We start from the raw sequence: 24,174 nt of genomic DNA, 5'->3' as shown, positions 1-24,174 counted from the left end.
CTCGGCCTCCCAAAGTGCTGGGATTACAGGCATGAGCCATCGCACCTGGCCCCTTACAAGGTCTTAAATGTTATCTGAATTCAAGAGCATATTAAGGATTTAAACAGTAAATTGATAATAATTTTTCATTTCACAGATTATCACTCTGCCTCGGTTTTAACTGTGGCACCCCTTGAGATACTCACCAATCGAACATACAGTGATTCAGGAAATATACAGAGTTAATTTAAATGTATTGCAGTTTAAAATGTGAAAGATACAGAGAAGTCCTTCAAATGAATAAAATGTGAACTTTCTGCACAGTAGAGTTTAGAATGAAAAAATAATATAGCTCGTCATTCACATGTAGGAAAAATTTCCTCAGTTTGAGCAACAATCTATTTTTTCTTACATATAAATTTGAAAACAAAGCCTTCAGGATTTGACTTACCTCTGAATCAGAGTCCTTACTAGAGCACTGAGAAAGCTTTGATGCATTTGAACTCTGCAGTGAGAATTCTCCACTTTCCTGGGACTGTGAAGAACATGCCTCTTCTCGTAAGGGATGAGACTCATCGTCACTGGACTCCTCGCTCTTTAACTGCGACACATCAGACATATTATTCTCAGGCAAAGAGGTGGGGGAATCGCTCTTTCTTCGGAACTGCTGCAATGCTGTGCTTGGAGAGGGGCTCGGCGTTCTTGAAAAATCTCCAAGACCTCCAGACCAACTAAAACAACTTCTTAGTGTTCCCAAAGTGGGTGGTGAAATGGTCCTTGTAAATTTGCTGCTCTCAAAAGAGTAGGACTCTTCATCTGTAAACACTGTTGCCTTGTCTGGAATATGATCACCTGGAATATGATTATTCGGAATGTCATCACTTGAATTACGTGCTACATCTGTGTCAACCAGTCTCTTGCCTTCTTGGTCTCCATACTCTGATTCATGCAGATTGTTCTCTTTATCTGTGACAGCAGTTTCATCCAGAGGCTGGATGCTCACTTTGTTTGATACACAGTCAGTAGAATCTGAACTGCAAAAAAACCTAATAAAAAAAGCAATAGAAACAATAAGTAAGTATGAGTATTTTAGAGTTTTCTCAAGGGGTGTCAAGATTCAAAATGGAATAATCAGTTTCTTTTTGAAAAAAGTCTCATAAATATATAATTTCATAAAGGCATAAAAAATCTTAAATTTTAGTCAAAATTCAAATTTTGATTATGCCAACATTCACACATTTAGAATTCTATTTATACGATGAATTTTTAGACAGGATTTTCCTTCTTTTTTTTTTTTTTGAGACAGAGTCTCTCTCTGTCACCAGGCTGGAGTGCAGTGGCGGGATCTTGGCTCACTGCAACCTCCGCCCCCCGGGTTCAAGCAATTCTCCTGCCTCAGCCTCCTGAGTAGGTGGGATTACAGGCATGCGCCACCATGCTGGCTAATTTTGTATTTTTAGTAGAGACGGGGTTTCTCCATGTTGGTCAGGCTGGTCTCAAACTCCTGATCTCAGGTGATCCGCCCGCCTTGGCCTCACAAAGTGTTGGGATTACAGGCGTGAGCCACAGCGCCCGGCCTAGAGAGGACTTTCTAAAAGCAGTCTTCTATATACACATGTATTTGGAACTTCTGTACTTTATTTATACCTAATCATCATATAGGTGTTCTTTCCCTAAACTTTTAAACTCTCAAATAGAAGATAAACTCTGTGAGGGCAGGTACTTCCCATGTCTTTGTATCTTCCACAGTACCTAGGATGGGGCTAAAACATGGTCAAACGCATGAAAAGATATAGAAATATGCAACCAAAAGGACAATTGACAACTATTCTCTCATATTTTGTAGGAAGCAAAATTAAAGAAATTAGCTATTTACCCTTCATCTTAGCTTTGTTCCTAGCATTATATCATCTAGGAACTTGCAGTAGTATACTAATCTACCAGCTTGTTATATACCCTATAAACTTCTATACTCTTTTAAATATACAGGTTAAGACTTTCTTTCAAATCAATCATAAATTCCATATTACTAAAGAGGTATTACTTATTCAGTATAGCAGCTTTAAAAAAAAATTCCAATGAAAATGAAAGATCAGTATCATTATTGAGGAGGCAAAGAGAGTTTTTAGGTTTAACAAATATCCTATTATACATGATCAGATAAATAAAAAACTTAAAGAGAATTTACCTCCTTAATAGGCATTAGTTCAAATCCAAGATAATGAACAGAATATTTACTAAATGCTAGAGAGTAAAAATCCTTTCTATCCTTTCACCAAATCCCTAGATTAGTTGTATGGGGAGGGGGCAGGAAGCAGTACGTGGAAGAAAAGCTCTTACTAGGCTTTTCAGTAAGCAGAAAACATGAGCTCCTAGATAGGACGGCAAATTCATTTTTAAATCAACGGCAATTCCTATGATGCCCAAGTATTCTCCTACATATCATTTCACAGGCAAGAGAAGAGATAGTGACAATGCCCAGGGTTATAAAATTACTTGGCTAGCAACAAACAGAAGTAAAACTCAGAACCCTTCCCAGTTCATGGCTACTTCCTCCCAACTGGCCCATACTGTTACTTAATTGACTTGTATTTCCAGATCTCGAAAGATAAAACTGGCACGTTTCTGTGATAACTACCTACATAATAAAAATAATTAAGACTTAAAACAGGCTTCCAAAATGCAGGCAAATTGGTGACAACGTTTTACATGTTTAGTATCTCCTTTTAGTTGCATTCAATTAAAAGGAGAGGAGTGGTAATGAATGCTTGCACATATATTAATGACTAGGCATTATGGCAGGTGCTTGACACGCAGTTTCTATTTACCTTCACAACAGCCTTATGTATATAATCATCCATTTTTTATAAACAAATAGGCTCAGGGAGGTGAACAGTGTGTGAAAGACGACTCAACTAAAAAGATGACAGAGTGAGAATTCAAATCCAGGCCTATTGGATTGTATGCCGCTTCCAATCCATTATATCAACTGTGACTAGGAATCTTCCTATCACCAGTACTAACTGTACAACTTTGAGAATGCTTAACCTCTCAGAGCCTCAATCTCTTAACCTCAAATAGAGAAGATAGCAGCAATCCTATGTATCTCATAATATTGTTGTGAGAAATAGAAAAACATGTAAAATTACCTTGAAAATTAACTTTGAAAACTAATTTAATAATATCCAGTTAATTTAAAAAGAAATTTTTTTTGAGATGGAGTCTCGCTCTGTCACCCAGGCTGGAGTGCAGGGGTGCGATCTCAACTCTCTGCAACCTCCTCCTCCTGGGTTCAAGCTATTCTCCTCCCTCGGCCCCCCGAGAAGCTGGGATTACAGGCATCTGCCACTACGCCCAGCTAATTTTTGAATACTTAGTAGAGACGGGGTTTCACTATGTTGGCCAGGCTGGTCTCAAACTCCTGACCTCAGGTGATCCACCCTCCTCGGCCTCCCAGAGTGCTGAGATTATAGGTGTGAGCCTATACCCTGTCTAGTCATTATCAGATGTTGCTGTATAATGTAAGCCATAAAATGACACATCAAAGACTGACTTACTCCTGATAATTATTTCTCACAGAAAGCTGACAGAGAAAACAAATTATTTCTCTAGGTATCTCTTAATGCACCCTCTGAACAAGTTACTAGTGAAACATCTAAACTACATAAAGCAGCGATGTACAGTCTCAAACTTGAAGACTTCCTTAAGCTTCTATAATGACTAAATAGGCGAGCCCTGTAGAGACACACAAACATTCTCATTTGTTGTCTCCAAAGAAGAGCTCAACATGAAGCAGCAGCACAGGGACACTCTACTCTCACCCCAGCGGAAAAACAAAACCAAGCTAGAAAAACTGTTCCAAGTGAGAGAAGTCAACTTTCTAGAACTTTTTAATCAGTGTATTTTTTTCTTTTTTTGAGACGAAGTCTCGCTTTGTCACCCAGGCTGGAGTGCAGTGGCGTGATCTTGGCTCACTGCAACCTCCGCCTCCCGGGTTCAAGCGATTCTCCTGCCTCAGCCTCCCAAACAGCTGGGACTACTAGCGCCCGCCACCACGCCCGGCTAATTTTTTGTACTTTTAGTAGAGATGGGGTTTCACCATGTTAGCCAGGATGGTCTCGATCTCCTGACCTCATGATCCGACCGCCTTGGCCTCCCAAAGTGCTGGGATTAAAGGCATGAACCACCACGGCCGGCCCAATCAGTGTATATTATCTAGAACACTGTTCCAGTTTTGTGGCCAATTTTTCATCATTCCACTGTTAACAAGCACCTTTAACAAGGGTGACTAGCAAAAGACGAATCAAAACTATCATTTAATCATATTGTATTGCAACTGTTTCCTTGAGAAGACTCCATGGGAGAAGGGTTTGAAACATCACCCGAGGTGAGACTAAGAAACTACCAGTGGTTCATTCTTTCATGCTCTTCTCCCATCATCATGGTTAGACAAAGCTGACTGCTGCCTGATTTATTAAACTTGAAAAACAGGGCAGAGTGTGGTGACTCACGCCTGTAATCCCAGCACTTTGGGAGGACAAGGTGTATGGACCACTTGAGGTCAGGAGTTCGACACCAGCCTGGCCAAAATGGTGAAACCCCATTTCTTCTAAAAACATAAAAATTAGCTGGGCATGGTGGCGGGTGCCTGTAGTCCCAGCTACTCGGGAGGCTGAGGCAGGAGAATCACTTGAACCCGGGAGGCGGAGGTGGCAGTGAGCCGAGATGGCGCCACTGTACTCCAGCCTGGGCAACAAGAGTGGAATTCTGTCTCAAGTAAAAATAAAAATAAAAAAATAAAAAACTTGAAAAACAAAGACTATTCATTCGAAGTCTTCTAGTGGAATACAGGAGCTGGTAACTTTTCTCTCTTAGTGTTACTCTATCATGCCTAGATCACTTCTGACACTTACATTTCCTTTTTCATGTTGTGGCACCACCATCTAAAGTCAACATAATACGAGTTACTTACTGTATGTTTATCATCTATCTATAAGGCACTGCTTTAGGTGCATTACTGATAGTAACTCATTTAATCCTTTCATCGGCCCTAAGGCTGTTATAATTGTTAGTCCCAATTTTTAAAAGGAGAGAACTGAAGTATCCAGAAGTTAACTTGTCAAGTCACACATCTCACAATGAACACAACAAGATTCCAGGAAGCCTGACTCCAGGTTCTAAATTCCTAATCCACAAATTAAACTGACTCTTCACAATCTCATGATTGCTCCCAGGGACTATGGCAACAGCCCAACTGGTCCTTGTGCCCCATCTGTGGCCCTCTTCAGCCCACTCTTCACAGGGCGCTCAGAATGGTTGATCTAAAACAGAGATCAAATCATACACCACCTCCCCTGATTAAAACCCTCTCAAAGTTTCTTTTCTTTTCTATTTTTCCTGGAGGCGGAGTCTTGCACTGTCTCACCCTGGCTGGACTGCAGTGGCATGATGGTTCACTGCAACCTCCTCCCGGGTTCAAGCAATTCTCGTGTCTCAGCCTCCCAAGTAGCTGGGACTACAGGTGCACACCACCATGTCCAGCTAGGTTTTGTACTTTTAGGAAGGACGGGGTTTCCCCATTTCATCCAGGCTAGTCTCAAACTCCTGACCTCAGGTGATCCACCCACTTGGCCTCCCAAAGTGCTGGGATTATAGGCATGAGCCATCGTGCCCGGCGACCCTCTCAATGTTTCTATCGCCTCTAAAGAAGACTAAAAGTTCCCACGTTGGCATACAAGCCTTCAGTGAATGGTCTCCTGCCTATTTCTGCTCCCCTCACCACCCATCTTTCCCCAGCTTGAATTCTGACAGAGGTCATCACAGCACTGACAGACAGCAAGGAGTTGTCCTGAGCCCCATGCTGCCCCCCATCTTTACACCTTTCCTCAAGCTGTCTGACTGTACTGGGAAGGTACTTGGTGCCGGTCTTTGCCTGCTTCACCTGTCATTTAAACCTAGGCAGGGACACCCAACACTCATCCCTTCCTTCTTACCCTTTCCAACCATTGCCCCAGCATTAGATGCCCCTTGAACGCCCTCAAAACACCGTATTCATGCCTTTATCTCTGTACTCACCATACTGTATGGAAAGATTTTTATGTATTTATTTTTCCAACTGGACTACAAGCTTCTGAAAAACAAAAACTGTCTTTCTCATTTTTGAACTATAGCACCTAGCATGGCATCAGGTTCTCAATTAATATTACAGCTCCACAGTCATCTACATTAGAATATATTTCTGAAAATACTTTGCAAAATTGTATGAAGCCCTCAAAGAAAACAAAAAAGTAGAAAAAAAAGAGGGGGAAGGGAACTCCCCAAAAAAACAATTTCTGTAAAGCAAAATTAATAATAGGGGCTACAATCCTCTTTTATTCTGATTCTGTACGGAGAGATTACGAAAGTACTAGAAGTTAAAGGGGTTTATGTCAGAACTAAGACAATACATGATAAGACAGTAATCAGATTAAGGCAGGTTCTACACCTGCTTCCCTCTAGACTCAATGTTTATTCAAGGCTCATCATCACTGGCCATTAGAGAAATGCAAATCAAAACCACAATTGGGGGGAGGGAGGAGGGATAGCATTAGGAGATATACCTAATGTTAAATGATGAGTTAATGGGTGCAGCACACCAACATGGCACATGTATACATATGTGACAAACCTGCACGTTGTACACATGTACCCTAGAACTTAAAGTATAAAAAAAAAAACCCACAATGAGTTACCATCTCACGTCAGTTAGAATGGCAATCATTAAAAAGTCAGGAAACAACAGATGCTGGAGAGGATGTGGAGAAATAGGAATGCTTTTACACTGTTGGTGGGAGTGTGAATTAATTCAACCATTGTGGAAGACAGTGTGGCGACTCCTCAAGGATCTAGAACCAGAAATACCATTTGACCCAGCAATCCCATTACTGGGTATATACCCAAAGGATTATAAATCATTCTACTATAAAGACACATGCATACGTATGTTTATTGCAGCACTATTCACAATAGCAAAGACTTGGAACCAACCCAAATGCCCATCAATGATAGGCTGGGTATAGAAAATGTGGCACATATACACCATGTAATACTATGCAGTCATAAAAAACGATGAGTTCATGTCCTTTGCAGGGACATGGATGAGGCTGGAAACCATCATTCTCAGCAAACTAATACACGAACAGAAAACCAAACACCACATGTTCTCGCTCATAAATGGGAGTTGAACAATGAGAGTACATGGACACAAGGAGGGGAACATCACACACCCCGGCCTGTGGCAGGGTAGGGGGCTAGGGGAGGGATAACATTAGGAGAAATACCTAATGGAGGTGACGGGTTGATGGGTGCAGCAAATCACCATGGCACATGTATACCCATGTAACAAAACTGCACGTTCTGCACATGTACCCCAGAACTTAAAGTATAATAAATAAATTAATTCTAAAAAAAGACAAAATAAATACCAACAGAGTACATAATACAACAGACAATCAACATTCTGGAGACATAACTATACCTGCTTCTGGTCCCTGGAACCACAACTGCACCACTTTCTTCATTTTTCCTTTGTAAAAATGTTGCAAATTTATTTCTCGTCCTAGGTGGAGTGCTTACACTCTTTTTGTTAGTAGGTCCATTTACCAGGTCAGGCACAAACACTTCAGAAAAGCTCAATGATTTATTGCCTTCAGAGCTATTTTTCTTGGTCTTCTTCGTAAATGAAAGAGAATACTGACTCAACAGGTCATCTTCTGACAGCTCTGCTAAATAAAAACAAAATTATCTGTAAATCTTTGTTTCACCTGTACTTAGAGATTTGGCCTTAACTTCAGTTTATATCCCATTGTCCTAAAAATAAGGACTTTAAAAAAAAAAAAAAAAAACTATGCCTCAGAAAAGAAAACATAAGGATAAGGATGATTCAAAAAAACTCCCTTAGGTCTATTTTATAATTTCACACATTAGTTTAAGATTTAATATCAGTTGTTTATACAATTTCATGTTAAAATTACCCAAATCAAAATTTCAGAGCACAATCAATCCTGTGTGGCGATGTATTCATTATACTAAGGGTCTAATTTTGAATATAAAAAAATCTCCAGGAAAATTTATATGTAAATATATGGTTAATGATCAATCGTTAAAATGTTCCAATAAAACCAGCAGCTATTGATACACATGGTTTATGTGTTCTGGGTTTTGATGTATATTGTGAATGTCATATAGTCGTAAGTAATTTGTGCTGTAGCTCTGATCGTTATTACTTCACTATGAGGCCCAAGAAGATTGCTGTGTGTCAAATGTATTCTGTGGTATTAAAATAAATCATAAGACTAAATAATAACAAAAGTTTAAAATCTGAGACAGGTAAGTACATAGAGACAGCACTAAGGTTCTTTGAATTACTTTGACTAATTCTGAGTCTGAACAGCTCCTTCTCCACAGAGGTGTAAGTGCACACTACTATAATCTTTGTGAAGTTGGTAAGATAGGTTGGGGTTACCAAAATACCAGAAACGAGATGTCTCAAATTTTTAAAAGGCACAGATTTTTAAAAAGCTGTATCAGCAAATTAGATGTTGATCCCCAGCAAAAGTTAAATCTGTTTATTATGCAGGGAATTGTGAGTCCTTGCAGAAGAAGAAAAACAAGTGTTCCAGGGTCCCCAACAAGGCTTTCAGAAGCCACACCAGATTAACCTCATTTTTTTTTTCTCAATAAGGTTATTAGCATAGTTATTTGGGGACTCCATAAATTAAGCATATCTAGAATTTGGCAAGACATTTGAGTGTCTCTCATATCATCCTAGCCAACAATGCAAAGCCATATCTACTGTATATTAGTTATGGGGATTTGCAGCAATTGCGCAGGCCTAAAAGACTACTACTGGCAACTGTTAGTCAAAAGGAAGTCTGTCTCATATACTCCAGATTTCTGTACTTGCTCTGATTCAGTTAAACATTATATAAGCAAACGTACTGTAACCAAAACTTTAAGACTCATCAATTTCCAGATGACATACATAATATGCATTTATTAGAAAATACAAAGATTCGAACAAAAAAATTAACAGGCAGAACAATGAACTAAAATGAATTAAGATTATTGTAAGAGGAATGAGTTAACCCACATTTAAGTTTAAAATGTAACTATACCTGGCTTAACAGCAACTGGCAAATATCAATTATCAACTCAGCAAATTCCAGCAAAATGCCAGATTGCAAGAATGTGAATGCAATCTTAGTTTGCAATAATAAAAGCACAGGACTGAAACAGTGCCACAATTCTAAATATTTCTTCTGTGGTAAGCAGATCACATTTCAATAATCATACTCACTGTAACAACTAGACAATTCTTAAAAACCTATATTACATCCAGAGCACAACCTGAATGGCCAAGGAACATAATAGCCTGGAAGAGAAATTTAGGAGTGTCACAATGGCTATCTTTAAATCATCTGAAGGGCTGGTACATGAAATAGGAATTAAACTTACTCTAGTTCTTTTGTTTTGTTTTTGTGTTTGTGTGTATAGAAAGGGGACAAAACCTATTGATAAGTTGTAGTTATAGAAAAGTAGACTTAGTCTGACATAAAGAACTCGCAAACTTGCTGACAGTGAGCTAGCTACATAAAATGGACAGCGTGTCTTGATTGTAGCAGAAGAAAATGAAAGAACATGTACAGGCCAGGCGCAGTGGCTCACACCTGTATTCCCAGCACTTTGGGAGGCCCAGACGGGTGGATCACGAGGTCAGGAGTTCAAGACCAGCCTGGCCAACATGGTGAAACCCCGTCTCTACTAAAAATACAAAAATTAGCCAGGTGTGGTAGTGGACGCCTGTATCCCAGCTACTCGGGAGGCTGAGGCAGAGAATTCCTCAAACCCAGGAGATGGAGGCTGCAGTGAGCCAAGAACACGCCACTGCCCTCCAGCCTGGGTGACACAGTGACACAGTCTCAAAAAAGGAAGGAAGGAAGGAGGGAGGGAGGGAGGGAAGGAAGGAAGGAAGGAAGGAGGGAGGGAGGGAAGGAAGGAAGGAAGGAGGGAGGGAGGGAAGGAAGGAAGGAAGATGAATGTACACTGTACTTCTTATATAACAAGTATATATTATCTTATATAACATACACAAAAACCTTTTATTTCATATGAAGAAACAAAGGTTCAGAGATAATTATCATGAAAATCATTTAGGTTCATAAGGAATCAGGATATTTCGGCCGAATATGTATAATCTATGCTTAAATTTGAAAAATAAAAGCATGAACTAAAATTTGCAAGTCTTTGTTTTATTTTTATTGTTGCTATTTCATTCACCGATGTAGATGTCTGAGGGAAGGAAGTTAAGAGAGAAGGAAGCAATTATAATCATTCTTTTCATTTTAAACATCCTCTATGGTGAAAAAATTCCCACGTTTCCCCAATACCTAGTATATTCCTCTCAGCACTTCTGTTCAATATTGTACTACAGATTCTAGTTTCCTTCCCCATTTAATTGTCTTGGCACATCTGTTCAAAATCAGCTGACCACATATATGTGGATCTTTTTCTGAACTCTATTATTCTGCACCATTGCTCTCCTTACCTATCTTTACATCAGATACACTGTTACATCACACACTGTGGCTCATAGGAAATCTTGAAGTCAGGCAGTATAATCTTGAAATCAGGCAGTTCAAAAGAAAACAAGCTTAGATTCTTATACTAAGAAAAAGAAATAAAAGGTATTTAAACTGGAAAAGGAGAAGCAAGATTGTCTTTATTCATAGGTGACACAGTCATTTATATAGAAAATCCTACATAGTCCACAAAAGAGATACTAGAACTAATACGTGACGTGAGCAAGGTTGCAAATATATGATTAATGTACAAAAATCAATGGTATTTCTATATACCATCAATGAACAACTAGAAAACAAAACTGAAAATACTATTTACAGCAGCATCAAAAATCGAAATATAAAGATAATTTGACAACAGATATGTTAAGATCTGTACAATGAAAGCTACAAAGCATTAAAGACTTAAATGAATGAATCAGAAAACTCAGTATTGTTAAAATGTCCACTTTCTCCAAATTGATGTATGGATTTAACTAACTCTCAATAGACTTTTTACTTTTTATTTGAGACAGGGTATTGTTCTGTCACTCAGGCTGGGGCGCAGTGATGTGGCCATGGCTCACTGCAGCCTCCAACTCTGAGGCTCGAGCGATCCTCCCACCTCAGCCTCCTGAATAGATGGGACTACAGACACACGTCACCACATTTGACTAATGTTTAAAAAATTTCTTTTGTATTTATTTTTTGTTTTACGATAATGTATTCTGAACTAGTAAGACCCTTTGAGCAGAGAAGCTGCAGCTTTGGAGAATAACCAGCTGACAGCTTTCTTAATTTTTTTTTTTTTTTTTTTTTTTTGAGATGGATTCTTTCTCTGGCGCCCAGGCTGGAGTGCACTGCGTGATCTCCGCTCACTGCAACCTCTGCCTTCCAGGTTCAAGTGATTCCCCTGTCTCAGCCTCACAAGTAGCTGGGATTACAAATGTGTGCCACCATGCCTGGCTAATTTTTTGTATTTTTAATAGAGATGGGGTTTTGCCATGTTGGCCAGGCTGGTCTGGAGCACCTGACCTCAAGTGATCTGCCTGCCTCGGCCTCCCAAAGTGCTGGGATTATAGGTGTGAGCCACCGCACCCGGCCTTAAAAATTTTTTTTGTGGAGACAGGGTCTCAGTGTGTTGCCAAGCCTGGTCTTGAACTCCTAGGCTCAAGCAATCCACCTGCCTTGGCCTCCCAAAACGTTGCAGTTGTAGGTGCAAACCACCATGCCTGACCTTTTTTTTTTTAGAAATTAAAAAGCTAAATTCTAAAATGTACATGGAAACGTGAAAAACACAGAATAGCCAAAACAACTTTTCAAAAGAAAACTAACTTGAGACTTACACTGCCCCGCTTCAAGATTTTCTATAAAGCCACAGTAATCAAGAATGTGTCTGATGTAAAGATAAGTAAGGAGAGCAATGGTATAGAATAACAGAGTTCAGAAAAAGATCCACATATATGTGGTCAGCTGATTTTAAACAGCTGTGCCAAGGCAATTAAATGGGGAAAGGAAAACTTTTTAACAAAGGGTGCTGGAACAATTGGACAGCCATATATACAAGATTAAAAAAAAAAGCCATAATCCTTACATCACATCGTATTAAAAAAACTAACTCAAAATGGCTCACAGGCTAAAACTGTAAAATGTAAGAGCTAAAACTAATGATAATGTTTGGCTGTGTCCCCACCCAAATCTCATCTTGAATTGTATCTCCCATAATTCCTATGTGTTGTGGGAGGGACCTGGTGGGAGATAACTGAATCATGGTGGCCGTTTCCCCCATACTGTTCTTATAGTAGTGAATAAGTCTCATGAGATCTGATGGTTTTATAAGGGAAAACCCTTTCACTTGGCTCTCATTCTTCTCGTTTGCTACCATGTGAGAAGTGCCTTTCACCTTCCACCATAATTGTGAGGCCTCCCCAGCTACATGGAACTGTGCGTCCATTAAACCTCTTTCTTTTGTAAATTGCCCAGTCTCAGGTATGTGTTTATCAGCAGGGTGAAAATGGACTAATACAACTATAAAACTTCTAGGAGAAAACAGGAGAAAATCTTCGCGACTTTGCGTTGGGCAATGATTTCTTTAAATATGACCAATATTCACCAGCATTTTGCAAAACTGAAATACGTACCACTTCTTGGTCTTTTCACAATGGATGATTTCCTTGGGAGATTTAACCCTTTAGTACTAATCACTCGTTCCACTCCCACAGTACTTGGATTTTCCTTCAATTGTGGGGCATCTGAAACAGTACCCGACTCTGGTCTGGGAGAGTAATTCCTATGCCAAATGCTGCTAACATTAGCTGACTTTTGACATGTTTTGTCATCCCAACTATGACTTCTTGAATGGGCAGGCTAGAAAAGGAAAAGGAAAAAGATTATTTGCAGAAAGAAAATAATCAATTTATTTCCTTCTGTATCAACATAAATTATAAATAAACATCTTAAGTTACCCTTAAAAACAATAGCTGTTGATGAAACAGCTGTCCTTGAATAACATTTCCTACTTTGCTGGTCCTATACTTTTCCATTAAATGTGTCTTATATTCCTAGGCCTGTTTTTCTTCTGATGAGAGTCAAGCAACTTTGTTAGCTCATTTCTAAAAAAAAAAAAAAAAAAAATCAAGAGTTGCTAGCAGCTGTAGAAAAAAAAGATTAAAAGTAAATAAATAAATAAATAAATAAAAATCTTCGTAATACAAATGGTGCAAGAAATAAGACCACAACTGAAGAAATGTGGTCAGGAAAACGGTGTCTTTTAAATGGAAAGCAGCCAGGCACGGTGGCTCACGCCTATAATCCCAGCAATTTGGGAGGCTGAGGCAGGCGGATCACTTGAGGTCAGGAGCTCGAGACCAGCCTTGCCAACATGGTGAAACCCTGCCACTACTAAAAGTACAAAAATTAGCCAGGTGTGGTGGCGTGTGCCTGTAATCCCAGCTACTTGGGAGGTTGAGGCAGGAGAATCACTTGAACCCAGGAGGCAGAGGTTGCAGTGAGCCGAGGGAGACTCCGTCTCAAAAACAAACAAACAAAAAAGGAAAGCAATCACTTTTAATGCTAATATAAGTTATTCACAATTACTACAAATTTTGGAAGACAATGATCTGCTAAGAGGATGTCAATGATATTCTAACAGAGAAGGACAGCCAAAGGGAAAAAATTAGCAAAGACACAAAAAAAATCATTACAATCCCACCTGACAAAAATCCCACATGAACTCAGAATCTAATCAAAGCCTTTCACTTAAAGAAAGGACAAAAATAAAAATAAATAAAACCGGTGACATTATTCAGAATACCCTTTGAGAATTAATAAGGAAGGTAATTTAATTGAGGGAACGAATATAAAAAGATAGCTTTATCAGTATGGCTCATGGCATTAGATCCCACTGATGGTTTTACTAAATAAGAAAGAGAAATAGACAAGTAGAAAACCAGACTAAATAAATTTTAGATAAATAAAAATAACTCATTTGGTGTACAATTATGGTTCCTATAGAAATTTCTCTATGAGAAGGACAAAATTCTGACAGGAATTTGAGCTGATGAAGGATGGCCATCTTAGCATTCCATAACATTACAATTGGTAATGGGACATACTCAACACTGTCAACTATTTTTGAGTTTCTGAGACAAAGGAAAAGCTTAAGAATCATTCTTAATGAAATTATAGGCCAGGCATGGTGGCTCACACCTGTAATCCCAGCACTTTGGGAGGCTGAGGCAGGTGGATCACCTGAGGTCAGGAGTTTGAGACCAGCCTGACCAATATGATGAAACCCCATCTCTACTAAAATACAAAAATCAGCCGGGCGTGGTGGCACATGCATGTAATTCCAGCTAGTTGGGAGCCTGAGGCAGGAGAACCACTTGAAACTCGGAGGCAGACGTTGCAGTGAGCTAAAATCATGCCACCGCGTGCCAGCCTGGGCAAGAGAGAGAGATTCTGTTCAAAAAAAAAAAAAAAGAGATATTCAAGTCAAAAAATATATATATATATATATAATGCTGTGGCCAGGTGTGGTGGCTCCACATGTGTAACCTCAGAAGTTTTGGAGGCCAAGGCAGAATGACTGCTTCAGGCCAGGAGTTCAAGACTAGCCTGGGCAACATAGTGAGACCCCCCCCCCACACACACAAAATTAGCCAGGCATGGTGGCATGTGCCTGTAGTTCCAGCTACTCAAGAGGCTTGATGCCAGTTACTGAAGATCGCTTGAGCCCAGGAGCTCTGATGGTGCCACTGCACTCCAGCCTGGAGGACAGAGAAAGAGACCCTGTCTCAAATTTAAAAAAAAAAAAAAAGAAAGAAAGAAATGATAAATACTGTCAATAGTTCAGCTGTGTAAAGATAGCACTTTTCAGTCTCCTTCTTTCCATAATCATTCCTCAAAACAATAAGAAACACAAAATTAACCTGCAAAAAAATTAGGAGATAATCTGTGACTTCTAAACCACGGTGAAGATAGAACATAGATGGAAGAAATTAAAAGACTTTGTCTGCAGAAGAGAATATCAAAGAGAAGCCAATTCCACCTACAGAAACCTGGAGAAAGGCTCAAGAATTAAAGTCTTGGAATTACAGAAGCCCCTGGTGGGGGAATGACTAACGAAAGAGAGAATTATTTGACCCTGTGTCCCCATCTCCAACCTGACTATACAGTCAACAAACATCTACCTGCCTTCAGAACCAGAACAATTGAACTTTTGAAACCCACAAAGAGTAACAGACATAGCAGGCATTTCTGAAGATAGATTCATTTGTCTGAAAACAGAGATGAAACAAAAGGCTAAATATTGAATGGCAAGGAACCATGCTACCCTTTCCTGGCCTGCCCCAACTCACTTTCCCTATCCTGCTTTCAAAATACAGACAGCCAAAGTTTAGATACCCTAAGCAGACATCTCTTTTTGGAAAAATGTAACTGTGCAGAGAACATTCCAACATTGGAGAATTCACAAATCAAATCCAATGTGTTACCAACCACATCATCCAAGAATGAAGTCCAACATCATAAGCCCCACTCATTCACACAATGTTCCCCATGAGCTTTTCGGGGCCCCTTCAAATATGACTGGCCAGAAGTTACCACCATGAGGGAGAAAATATCAACACAGGAAAAAGGTACACAGCAGTTACAGAGAGCGGAAGAAAACGTTCAAAAAATTATCATATTCTGAGAAAGATAAGAGATGACATCTAAATCTTCAAAAAAAAGTACAATTAAAGAGTCCCTAGATATAAAAATATGATAGTAGAAGTAAAGAATTCAGCAGAATTTCCTGCACTGATAGAAAAGCTCTGTGCTGTCCACTATGTTAGCCACTAACCACTAAGCACTTGAAAGCTGGCTACTATAACTAAGGAAGTAAAATAGCAATTGTATTTAATTTTAACAAATTTAAATAGCCACACATGGCTAGTGGCTACCGTATTACATGGAGCAAGGTTAGAAAATAGGGGAATAGCAACCTGAGTGTAAGGTTTACATCACTGAAGCTGATAAAGTTCATTTTTAGGGTCGTTATAGATTTGTGCTCTCTTGGTAGGCTTGGCTTATTTCAGCTTACAGTAATGGTTACTTTTCCATGCTGAATGGATCACCAGTTTGTTAGTGGTCATCTTTTCCAGGCTCACTTCTTTTTTTCTCAAGATCTGGTTCCTTTACATGGTAAACACTAAGATATTCTTAGCCCATCCATAATGAACAATCTAAGAGTTCCCTTAATATATCACTTTTTTCTACATACGCTTTTTTTGTTTTTTTTTTTTTTAGCCTGGAATCACCCATCTTGAAAAACTCTACTAATCCTTGCAAACTGAGGATACACATCAGTTTCTCTTTCAGCAGACAGTAGAGAACTTGGCTTGGAATCACAGCTCCCCTATTTACGAAAATGGTCAGCTGGAAAAGTTACTTAAGTGTCCTCTAATTGTTTCCTCATCTGTAAAATGAGAATGGTGCTGACTTCAGAGGCTTTCTGAAGAGTAAATGACTTACTATGTCTAAGGTGCTTAAAAGAGCACCTGGAAAGTAGCAAATGCTCAGAAAATGTTTGCCATTATTATTAGGAAGCATTCTCTTAGGTGGAGTGAGGGACATGCTTTTTATTTCCACAGAGCCTGGAATACCTCTTTAGCGTAGCACTTACCGCATTTCTTTCTATAGAATCCCTTCTCCTTCCTATTTAGGCAATGGGCATTTGACAGGCAAGGATCTTACTTTTCCTGTATTTCTTATTTTTCTTTATATTCCAGAACCCTAGCTAACCTAATTACATTGTTTCAGTGCTTGATAAATGTTTAGTAAAGGAATAAATTAGTGAGCAAGAATTAAACTGGAAGCTTGGGAAAAGAAGAAAATGTTAACCAGAAGGACAACTCAAAGAGGCAAGAGGATGTAGCAACGAAATGGAAGCCAAAGTTTATTTCCAAGTTTTCCAGTGTGAGAACAAAAGAGACCTGTGGCTAACACTCATTCACTCAACATATAAACATAGTAAATATCATACAGCAGTGAGGATCACCAAGTTCTGCCTTTATGAAGACCACATTCTATTGGAAAGAATCAGAAAAGAATAGAAGCATGTTATACAGTAATAAGTGCTAAGTAGGAAATAAAAGAGAAATGTGATTAAAAGTTGATTAAAAACATGAAGAGTTTAGTTTTGCCTATAAATAGACTTGGAGGCTACAGGAAATCAGAGACGCAAGAGACAGTGAGAATTCTGTGGTTGGTGCACAGGCGAGAGACTGGAGTAAAGATGGAGATGTGAGTTCTTTACGTAAATGGGATTAAAGCCCTAAGGACTTACCTAAGGAAGAAATGTAAACAGAAAAGAGAACAGAGGATAAACAGAAATACAAAGAGAAAGACAATGATGGGAGACAGTATCTTAAGGAATACATACAATACTGAAGAAGCAGAAGAAAACAGCAAATCGCGGCTAGGAGTGGTGGCTCACGCCTGTAATCCCAGCGCTTTGGGAGGCCGAGGTGGGCAGATCACCCGAGGTTGGGAGTTCCAGACCAGCCTGGCCAACATGCAGAAATCCTGTCTCTACTAAAAATACAAAATTAGCCGGGCGTGGTGGTGCATGCCTGTAATCCTAGCTACCCAGGAGGCTGAGGCAGGAGAATTGCTCGAACCTGGGAGGCGGAGGTTGTGGTGAGCTGAGATCGCACCATTGCACTCCAGCCTGGGCAACAAGAATGAAACTCTGTCTCAAAAAAGAAAAATAAAAGAAAACAGCAAATTGTTTAAAGAAACAGCAGGGGCGTGCATTAAATATTTGTTAAATTGTGCATGAGTGAAAAAACAGCTTTAACTCCCGTAGCATTCCTAGGCTTGGGTCTTCAATGATGCCAAATGCCACAGAAGCCGAACGGAGTGAGATGAGAAAAAAAGGCATCAAATGCTTGGTATATTCAAATGAAATGCTCAAGGATAAGGGTTTGATAATAAATAACAGTCACTTCTTAATTTTAAAAAATTAACCAATATACCTATGCTCTAATACATGTAATTTCTCTAGGATCAAGTTGTTTTTAATGTACATTCTGCACAGAGCCTGGATATAGAAACGCTTAAAAGAAGCTTAGTGTATGAAGATTTGCCTTTAATCACAGCTCGGGACATAACTAAAACGTGTTTTCATAGGGTGGTCATCAAAACGTTACCATAGCAGTGTCTGGATTGTAGTCATCGATCTGTTCAAAAGTATTTATATCTTTATTTCCAAGTGCTATTTGAAGAGCTATGGAATCATCAACATATCTAGATTAGCAAGATTAAGGAAAAATGTATTTATTAACAACCAACCAAATGATATTATACTAAGATGGAAAAATGTTTTCTATTGTCACGAAAATCCATAGGTTTATGACTTAAATGGAGTCTCCTTACTTTATACATCAGCATTACTGAAAGCAGACACAGTTTGCTAGTCTCTATCTGTCTCTGCAGGAGTTGGTGTCTTCTGACGAGGGCCCAGGCCATCACTGACTCCCTGCCTTTAAGGGAAACAGAGGGGAAAGTCCTAGCCACCACCTAAGTGACTCAGGGCTCTGCATCAGCCTGCATGTACATGGCCAGTGGCTATGGGAAGGGCATCCTCTCCTGATGCACTCAAATGCCCAGAATGCTCTTCCTGATAAGTCGAGCTTGCTTGCCACGAGGAGGTCCTCTCAAGAGCCACCTTTGGAATGTGTACCGTAAGTGACGGACCCTGTGCATGCTACTGTCAGTCAATCTAAGTAATCAGGATGCATAGTGGATGAGCCTCGGGTTTATAAACAAAAAGTTGTTCTCAATTTTCACTAGCATGGTAATTTAAATGAACAATATACAGATTTCACTATAAAAAAGAGAGCAAAAAATAATGTGCAAGCTTTTTACTAAATGCCTCACAAAAAAATCACCATAAAAATATTGAAGAAAAATGCACAAATTCTACCATTCTGTTTCAGAAAGGATACTGCCCAGCGTAGCTTAGTGTTTCAGGATCAACATCATCTTCATAGGCGTTCAGAGGAATAAGTTTCCTTTTGATGGGATCAAAAACTAGCTGATAGAGGAAGGTATTGTTGGCCCGAATAAACCCGTTGATGTAATCCTCTGGTACCGTGATATTCATCTTGAGATAATGTCCAATTTTCTTGATAACCTAACAATGCATGCAAAAATATTTTATCTGCAACTAAAGAACAGGGAACATATTATCCTCAAGGCTGATTGATTTACATTCATAAAGAGGGATTGAAACATTAACTGCTTTCATCTACATTAAAAAATTCTACCAGCTAACACAACCATGTTACATCACTTAAAATTCTAAGTCTCATAACTAGTATTTTCTTTGGTTTTTCTATTACTAATTTGAAGGATAAAAAAATACAGTTATATAGTACATCAAGTTTGTGCTTCTAGGTGTAACTTTGAGATACATTATCCATTCATCTTCAAAGTCCTTTTTATCAAGAAAGGAAAAAAAAAGAACATCCAAAATCTGAGAATTAAAAAAATGCAAATATTTCTAGATCATATTTTTAAACCAAGTTGACATTCTGATTTCTGTGAGAGTCATGGATGCTTAAAGCTGGAAAGGATCCTAAACATTGCATAGTAAATTCATAGATGAAAAAGGGAAGGCCCAGAGAACCAAACGGATCCTGGAGTCACAGGCTAGTTAAGGCACGTGGTCCTATTCCCACCTGGGACACTATCTTCCAACCTAGAGATCTTTCCATTACATGACATCACTCTTAGTCCTGAGGACTCAGGCCTTATACTCCTGGAAATAGAAAAATGAAATTTCTGCTCTGCAAACTGTTAAGGGTTTAGAGAATATCCAAGGGGGAAAATGAGCTTCTTTGATGTTTATTTTTTAAGACAAACTACAAAGTAGCAATGTCCAGAGTCTCAGAATTTTCCAGATGATATATGATACATGGTATCAAATGAGGCTTAATAAGGCAGCAGATACAGGTTGGGTACACATTATCCAAAATGCTTGGCACCAGAAGTGTTTCAGATTTTGAATTTTTTCAGATTTTGGAATATTTGCATATACACGTTATGAGATAACTTAGGGATGGGGCCCAAGTCTAAACATAAAATCCATTTACGTTTCCACACACTGACAGCAAGAGGGTGAAGAAGAAAAAAAACTCAATTTATGTTTCATATAAGCCTTACACACATAGACTGAAGGTAATTTTATACAGTATTTTTAATTATTTTGTGTACTCTTCACATGAGATCAGGTGTGGAATTTTTCACTTGCCTGCCGGGACTCAAAAAGTTTTGGATTTTTGAACATTTCAGATTTTTGGATTAGGGATGTTCAACTTGTATACGAACACAGCTGTCTTCTATTAGGCCACATTAAAGAGATTTGCATAAATGTATGATTCCTCTCTCTCATAATTTTTGTTTTAAAAAATGATTATTTTTCATAAAAGCATGCTATTTATGCTAACATGTAATGAGTTTATTATAAAGTTTAAGTGAATTGATAAACATTTAAATTTTTGTTTTAATTTTTAATTCAGTAAATATCAATAGCTATCGCCTACATAAACAAAAAATATTACCATAAAGGAGCTTGAGGAGTGTAAAGGGATCCTGCGACCAAACAGTTTGAGAACCACTACTATAGAGTTATAGCACAGAAGTCAAAAGACTCCGAGTTTAATTTTACCCTAGAATATTTTCTCCTTGAGCCTCTTTATACTAGTCTTTGTTTTAAAAATCACTACTTTTTTGCCAATTGCAGAAAACATGATTTTCCCAATATATGTTAGTTGCTAAGGCAAAGTTCTAGTGCCTCAGTCATTTGCTCCTTTTAATAATATAATATAGGTTATTCGCATAACAGAATATTTAAATCCATATTATGATTTATTATTTTATTAAGGAAATGCTTCAGAAATTGAATATGACACTTAGCAAATCACTCTTACCTTTACTATATCTGGATTATTGGCTAGTCTTAGGACTTTGCATGCCTTTGCTAATCCAATCCCACGCAGTGATGACAGGTAGTCACAACCTGAAAGAATACACATGTAACGAAACTTCTCTTCCGTGAATACATCCCCAAGCTGTCTGCACATTCCTAGCCGAGCTTGATCAATTTCAAGTCCATTTCCAAACTGGTCCATCTTTAAAATTACCTTCAAAAGGAAGGGAAATTGTTAATACCTAGAAGGGCCACTTTTGTCATTATCTAATCCACTGCAATAATTTTAAGAAATCTTTCTTGTTCTTCACCATAACACTGAAAGACAGGAGACATAGATAGACAGGCTGATGATTACTAAGTTTACAAATAAAGTATGCTGAAGCATAGGATATGACTAGACAAGGCTATACAGCTAGGACTCAACTGTCACAATTCTGGTATAAAGCAAGCTCTTTTTGCATCTCTTTATTTCCTACTTGTGTTACAGGGTTGTCATGATAATCAAACAGTAATGCATACGAAAAACATTTTCTCTTTCTCTGTCACTTGTACCTTTTAAGTAATCTTTTTCCTTATTATTGAAGCAATTCATGTTTATTGTAGAAAATTTGGAAAATATAGAAATTCAGGAAGAAAACAAGTCATCCCTATTCCCTCATTTATCACTGTAACCTAGTATTAACCTTTTGATAGAGACCCTTCTAGTCATAAATATAGGCATTAACAAAAATGAGAACATCCTGTAGTTTTGTATCTTAATTCTCCCCTAAATAAAGTTTTCCATGAAATAGTTTTATACATAATTCTAAATAACTGCATGGCAACCCTTTAGTACATAAGTTAGTATACCTAACCTAATCAAGAAATATAAAGCATATGTTGTCATTATTAAAAAATAAAACTGGTACGTCCACATTCTACTAAAGAATCTGCATAAAACAATAACAAACCCCTCCAACCTTAAGGGCTTACTTTGAAAAAGTATCCACATTACACAAACATCAAGCAGCAAAACCCTTCTTTTCATTTTAAATAATTATTAACATTATAAAAATAGATGTCAGTTGCAAATATCTATTAAATACAATAATTTACCTTGTAATATTTTATAAATATTATAAATTTTATAAATATTATAAATTATCATAATTTCCTGGACAGGAAAAATTTCAGCTCCTTGATTTACACTACTATCTACATAGAAAAGTAATATATAGTAGTCAGAGGTGAGTACCTTTTTACAGCCAAAAGCTAGGAGATCCGAGTCCTCTGTAATTATGGCTTGCACAATTCCCGCTTTGTTAAGATAGGCCAACTGCGCATCAGCTTCATAGGGAGCCACGAGGCAATCTACCCCCTGAGACCGGGCAGCCTAGAAGAGAGAATCACAGTGAATCTCTAGCACGGCATCTGGAAAGTACTAAACAACTTCCTGTTTCAAACCCACTTTATTACTAGCCTCAGCAGGCACATGCTAATATTACTTTGAGAAATCATTTCCTTTGAAGTAGAGTTTTTCTACTGTAAGTTTTAGTATATGTTGAACTAATTATATAGCCATTAAGACATTTTTAAAAAATCAACTTATAAAATTTGGAGAAAAGAAATACTGCTACACAGCCAGAGGAAAAAAGAATCCTACAAGTTACAAAAGTAATCATTTTATTTTTTGGAGACAGGGTCTGGCTCTGTCACCCAGGCTGGAGTGGCAGTGGTGCCAGCCGGCAGGGCACACTGCAGCTTCGACCTCCTGGGCTCTGGGCTCAGGTGATCTTCCCACCTCAGCCTCCCGAGTAGGTGGGACTACAGGTGCATGCCACCATGCCCAACTAATTTTTTTGTATTTTTTGTAGAGACAAGGTTTTGCCATGTTGTCTAGGCTGGTCTCAAACTCCTGGACTCAAGTGATCCACTCGCTTCAGCTTCCCAAAGTGTTGGCATTGTAAGCGTTCAGCCATTGTGCCTGGCCCACTTATTTTAAATTATAGAAAACTTCCATCTTAAGAATGGCTATGTTCCGAAAATATACATTTGTTTGGAGTTTTGAATATATCTTCCCCATAAAAATAACAGGTTGTCCTGTCAAGCTACGAAAGTCAATGTACTGACACAGTATTGATAAAATTATAGACCATATCCAGCAATGTCTTGGGGGGAAAATATATACGTAGGTATATGTGTGTATACATATACACACACACGTATATATACACACATACATAACTCTCCTCTAATAATGTATCTTACATATATATTATAGGCTATAGCACTATATTTAAACCAATGCATTATGAGAAAATACTTTTAAAATAAACTTGCCAAGAAAAACAGCCCCTATCATAGCCGCTGTGTCAAAATCTAGGCAGCTGGAACTGGAACTTCCATGTTCTAAACTATGGGAAAATGGTTCCCAAGGCCTGAAGACAGGCTTTGGGAAGTTAAAAAAAAAAAAAGAAAAAAAGAAAAAAAGAGGAAAGAGGTATCAAGATCCTGCTGCTATCAATTTTGGTAACAATTTGCTATTTTTCTCATTTTTTTTCCTTTTTTGGTCCAGCAATAGTCCTACTCTCATCCTTTTGAGAAGTGACAGCGTGCTGGCAGTACTCATAGCCCTCCCTCGCTCTCGGCGCCTCCTCTGCCTGGGCTCCCACTTTGGCGGCACTTGAGCCCTTCAGCCCACCGCTGCTCTGTGGGAGCCCCTTTCTGGGCTGGCCAAGGCCGGAGCCCACTCCCTCAGCTTACAGGGAGGTGTGGAGGGAGAGGCGCCAGCGAGAACTGGGGCTGCGCGCGGTGCTTGCGGGCCAGCTGGAGTTCCGGGTGGGCGTGGGCTTGGCGGCCCCGCACTCAGAGCAGCCGGCCGGCCCTGTCGGCCCCAGGCAATGAGGGCTTAGCACCCGGGCCAGCGGCTGCGGAGGATGTACTGGGTCCCCCAGCAGTGCCGGCCCACCGGCGCTGCGCTCTATTTCTCGCGGGGCCTTAGCTGCCTTCCTGCGGGGCAGGACTCGGGACTGCAGCCCGCCATGCCTGAGCCTCCCACCCCCTCCGTGGGCTCCTGTGCCGCCCGAGCCTCCCCAACGAGCACCACCCCCTGCTCCACGGCGCCCAGTCTCATCCACC

At 39.1% G+C, this 24,174-nt stretch overlaps 1 protein-coding gene across 23 annotated transcripts in view, besides 1 other annotated feature; it reads right to left on the bottom strand.

Moving 5' to 3' along the window:
- EXO1 (exonuclease 1) overlaps positions 1-24,174 on the bottom strand; it is a 41,954-nt gene that overhangs the window by 10,166 nt on the left and 7,614 nt on the right. For 12 of the 23 annotated variants that reach the window (XM_047434104.1, XM_047434106.1, XM_011544322.2 and 9 more), the window contains 7 exons: positions 22,292-22,429; positions 21,056-21,268; positions 19,070-19,257; positions 18,272-18,368; positions 12,719-12,944; positions 7,496-7,742; positions 431-1,025 (listed from right to left, as the gene is read on the bottom strand). In XM_047434104.1, the coding sequence (XP_047290060.1) occupies positions 431-1,025; positions 7,496-7,742; positions 12,719-12,944; positions 18,272-18,368; positions 19,070-19,257; positions 21,056-21,268; positions 22,292-22,429 (1,704 nt within the window). Of the gene's footprint in view, positions 1-430; positions 1,026-7,495; positions 7,743-12,718; positions 12,945-13,042; positions 13,190-18,271; positions 18,369-19,069; positions 19,258-21,055; positions 21,269-22,291; positions 22,430-24,174 lie in introns of those variants that run through there. The other 11 variants (XM_047434112.1, XM_047434108.1, XM_047434155.1 and 8 more) reach the window with 3 other exon arrangements.
- Positions 5,001-5,201: a silencer, noted in NCBI's record as "peak797 fragment used in MPRA reporter construct". NCBI's record gives its function as "represses an SCP1 promoter by STARR-seq MPRAs in K562 erythroleukemia cells {active_cell/tissue: K562}" and the evidence as "EXISTENCE:reporter gene assay evidence [ECO:0000049][PMID:32103011]".

Source organism: Homo sapiens, chromosome 1, assembly GCF_000001405.40.
Source record: "Homo sapiens chromosome 1, GRCh38.p14 Primary Assembly".
NCBI lineage: Eukaryota > Metazoa > Chordata > Mammalia > Primates > Hominidae > Homo > Homo sapiens.
The sequence above is the reverse complement of the archived record's forward strand: the minus strand, read 5'-3'. Positions and strand labels throughout refer to the sequence as shown.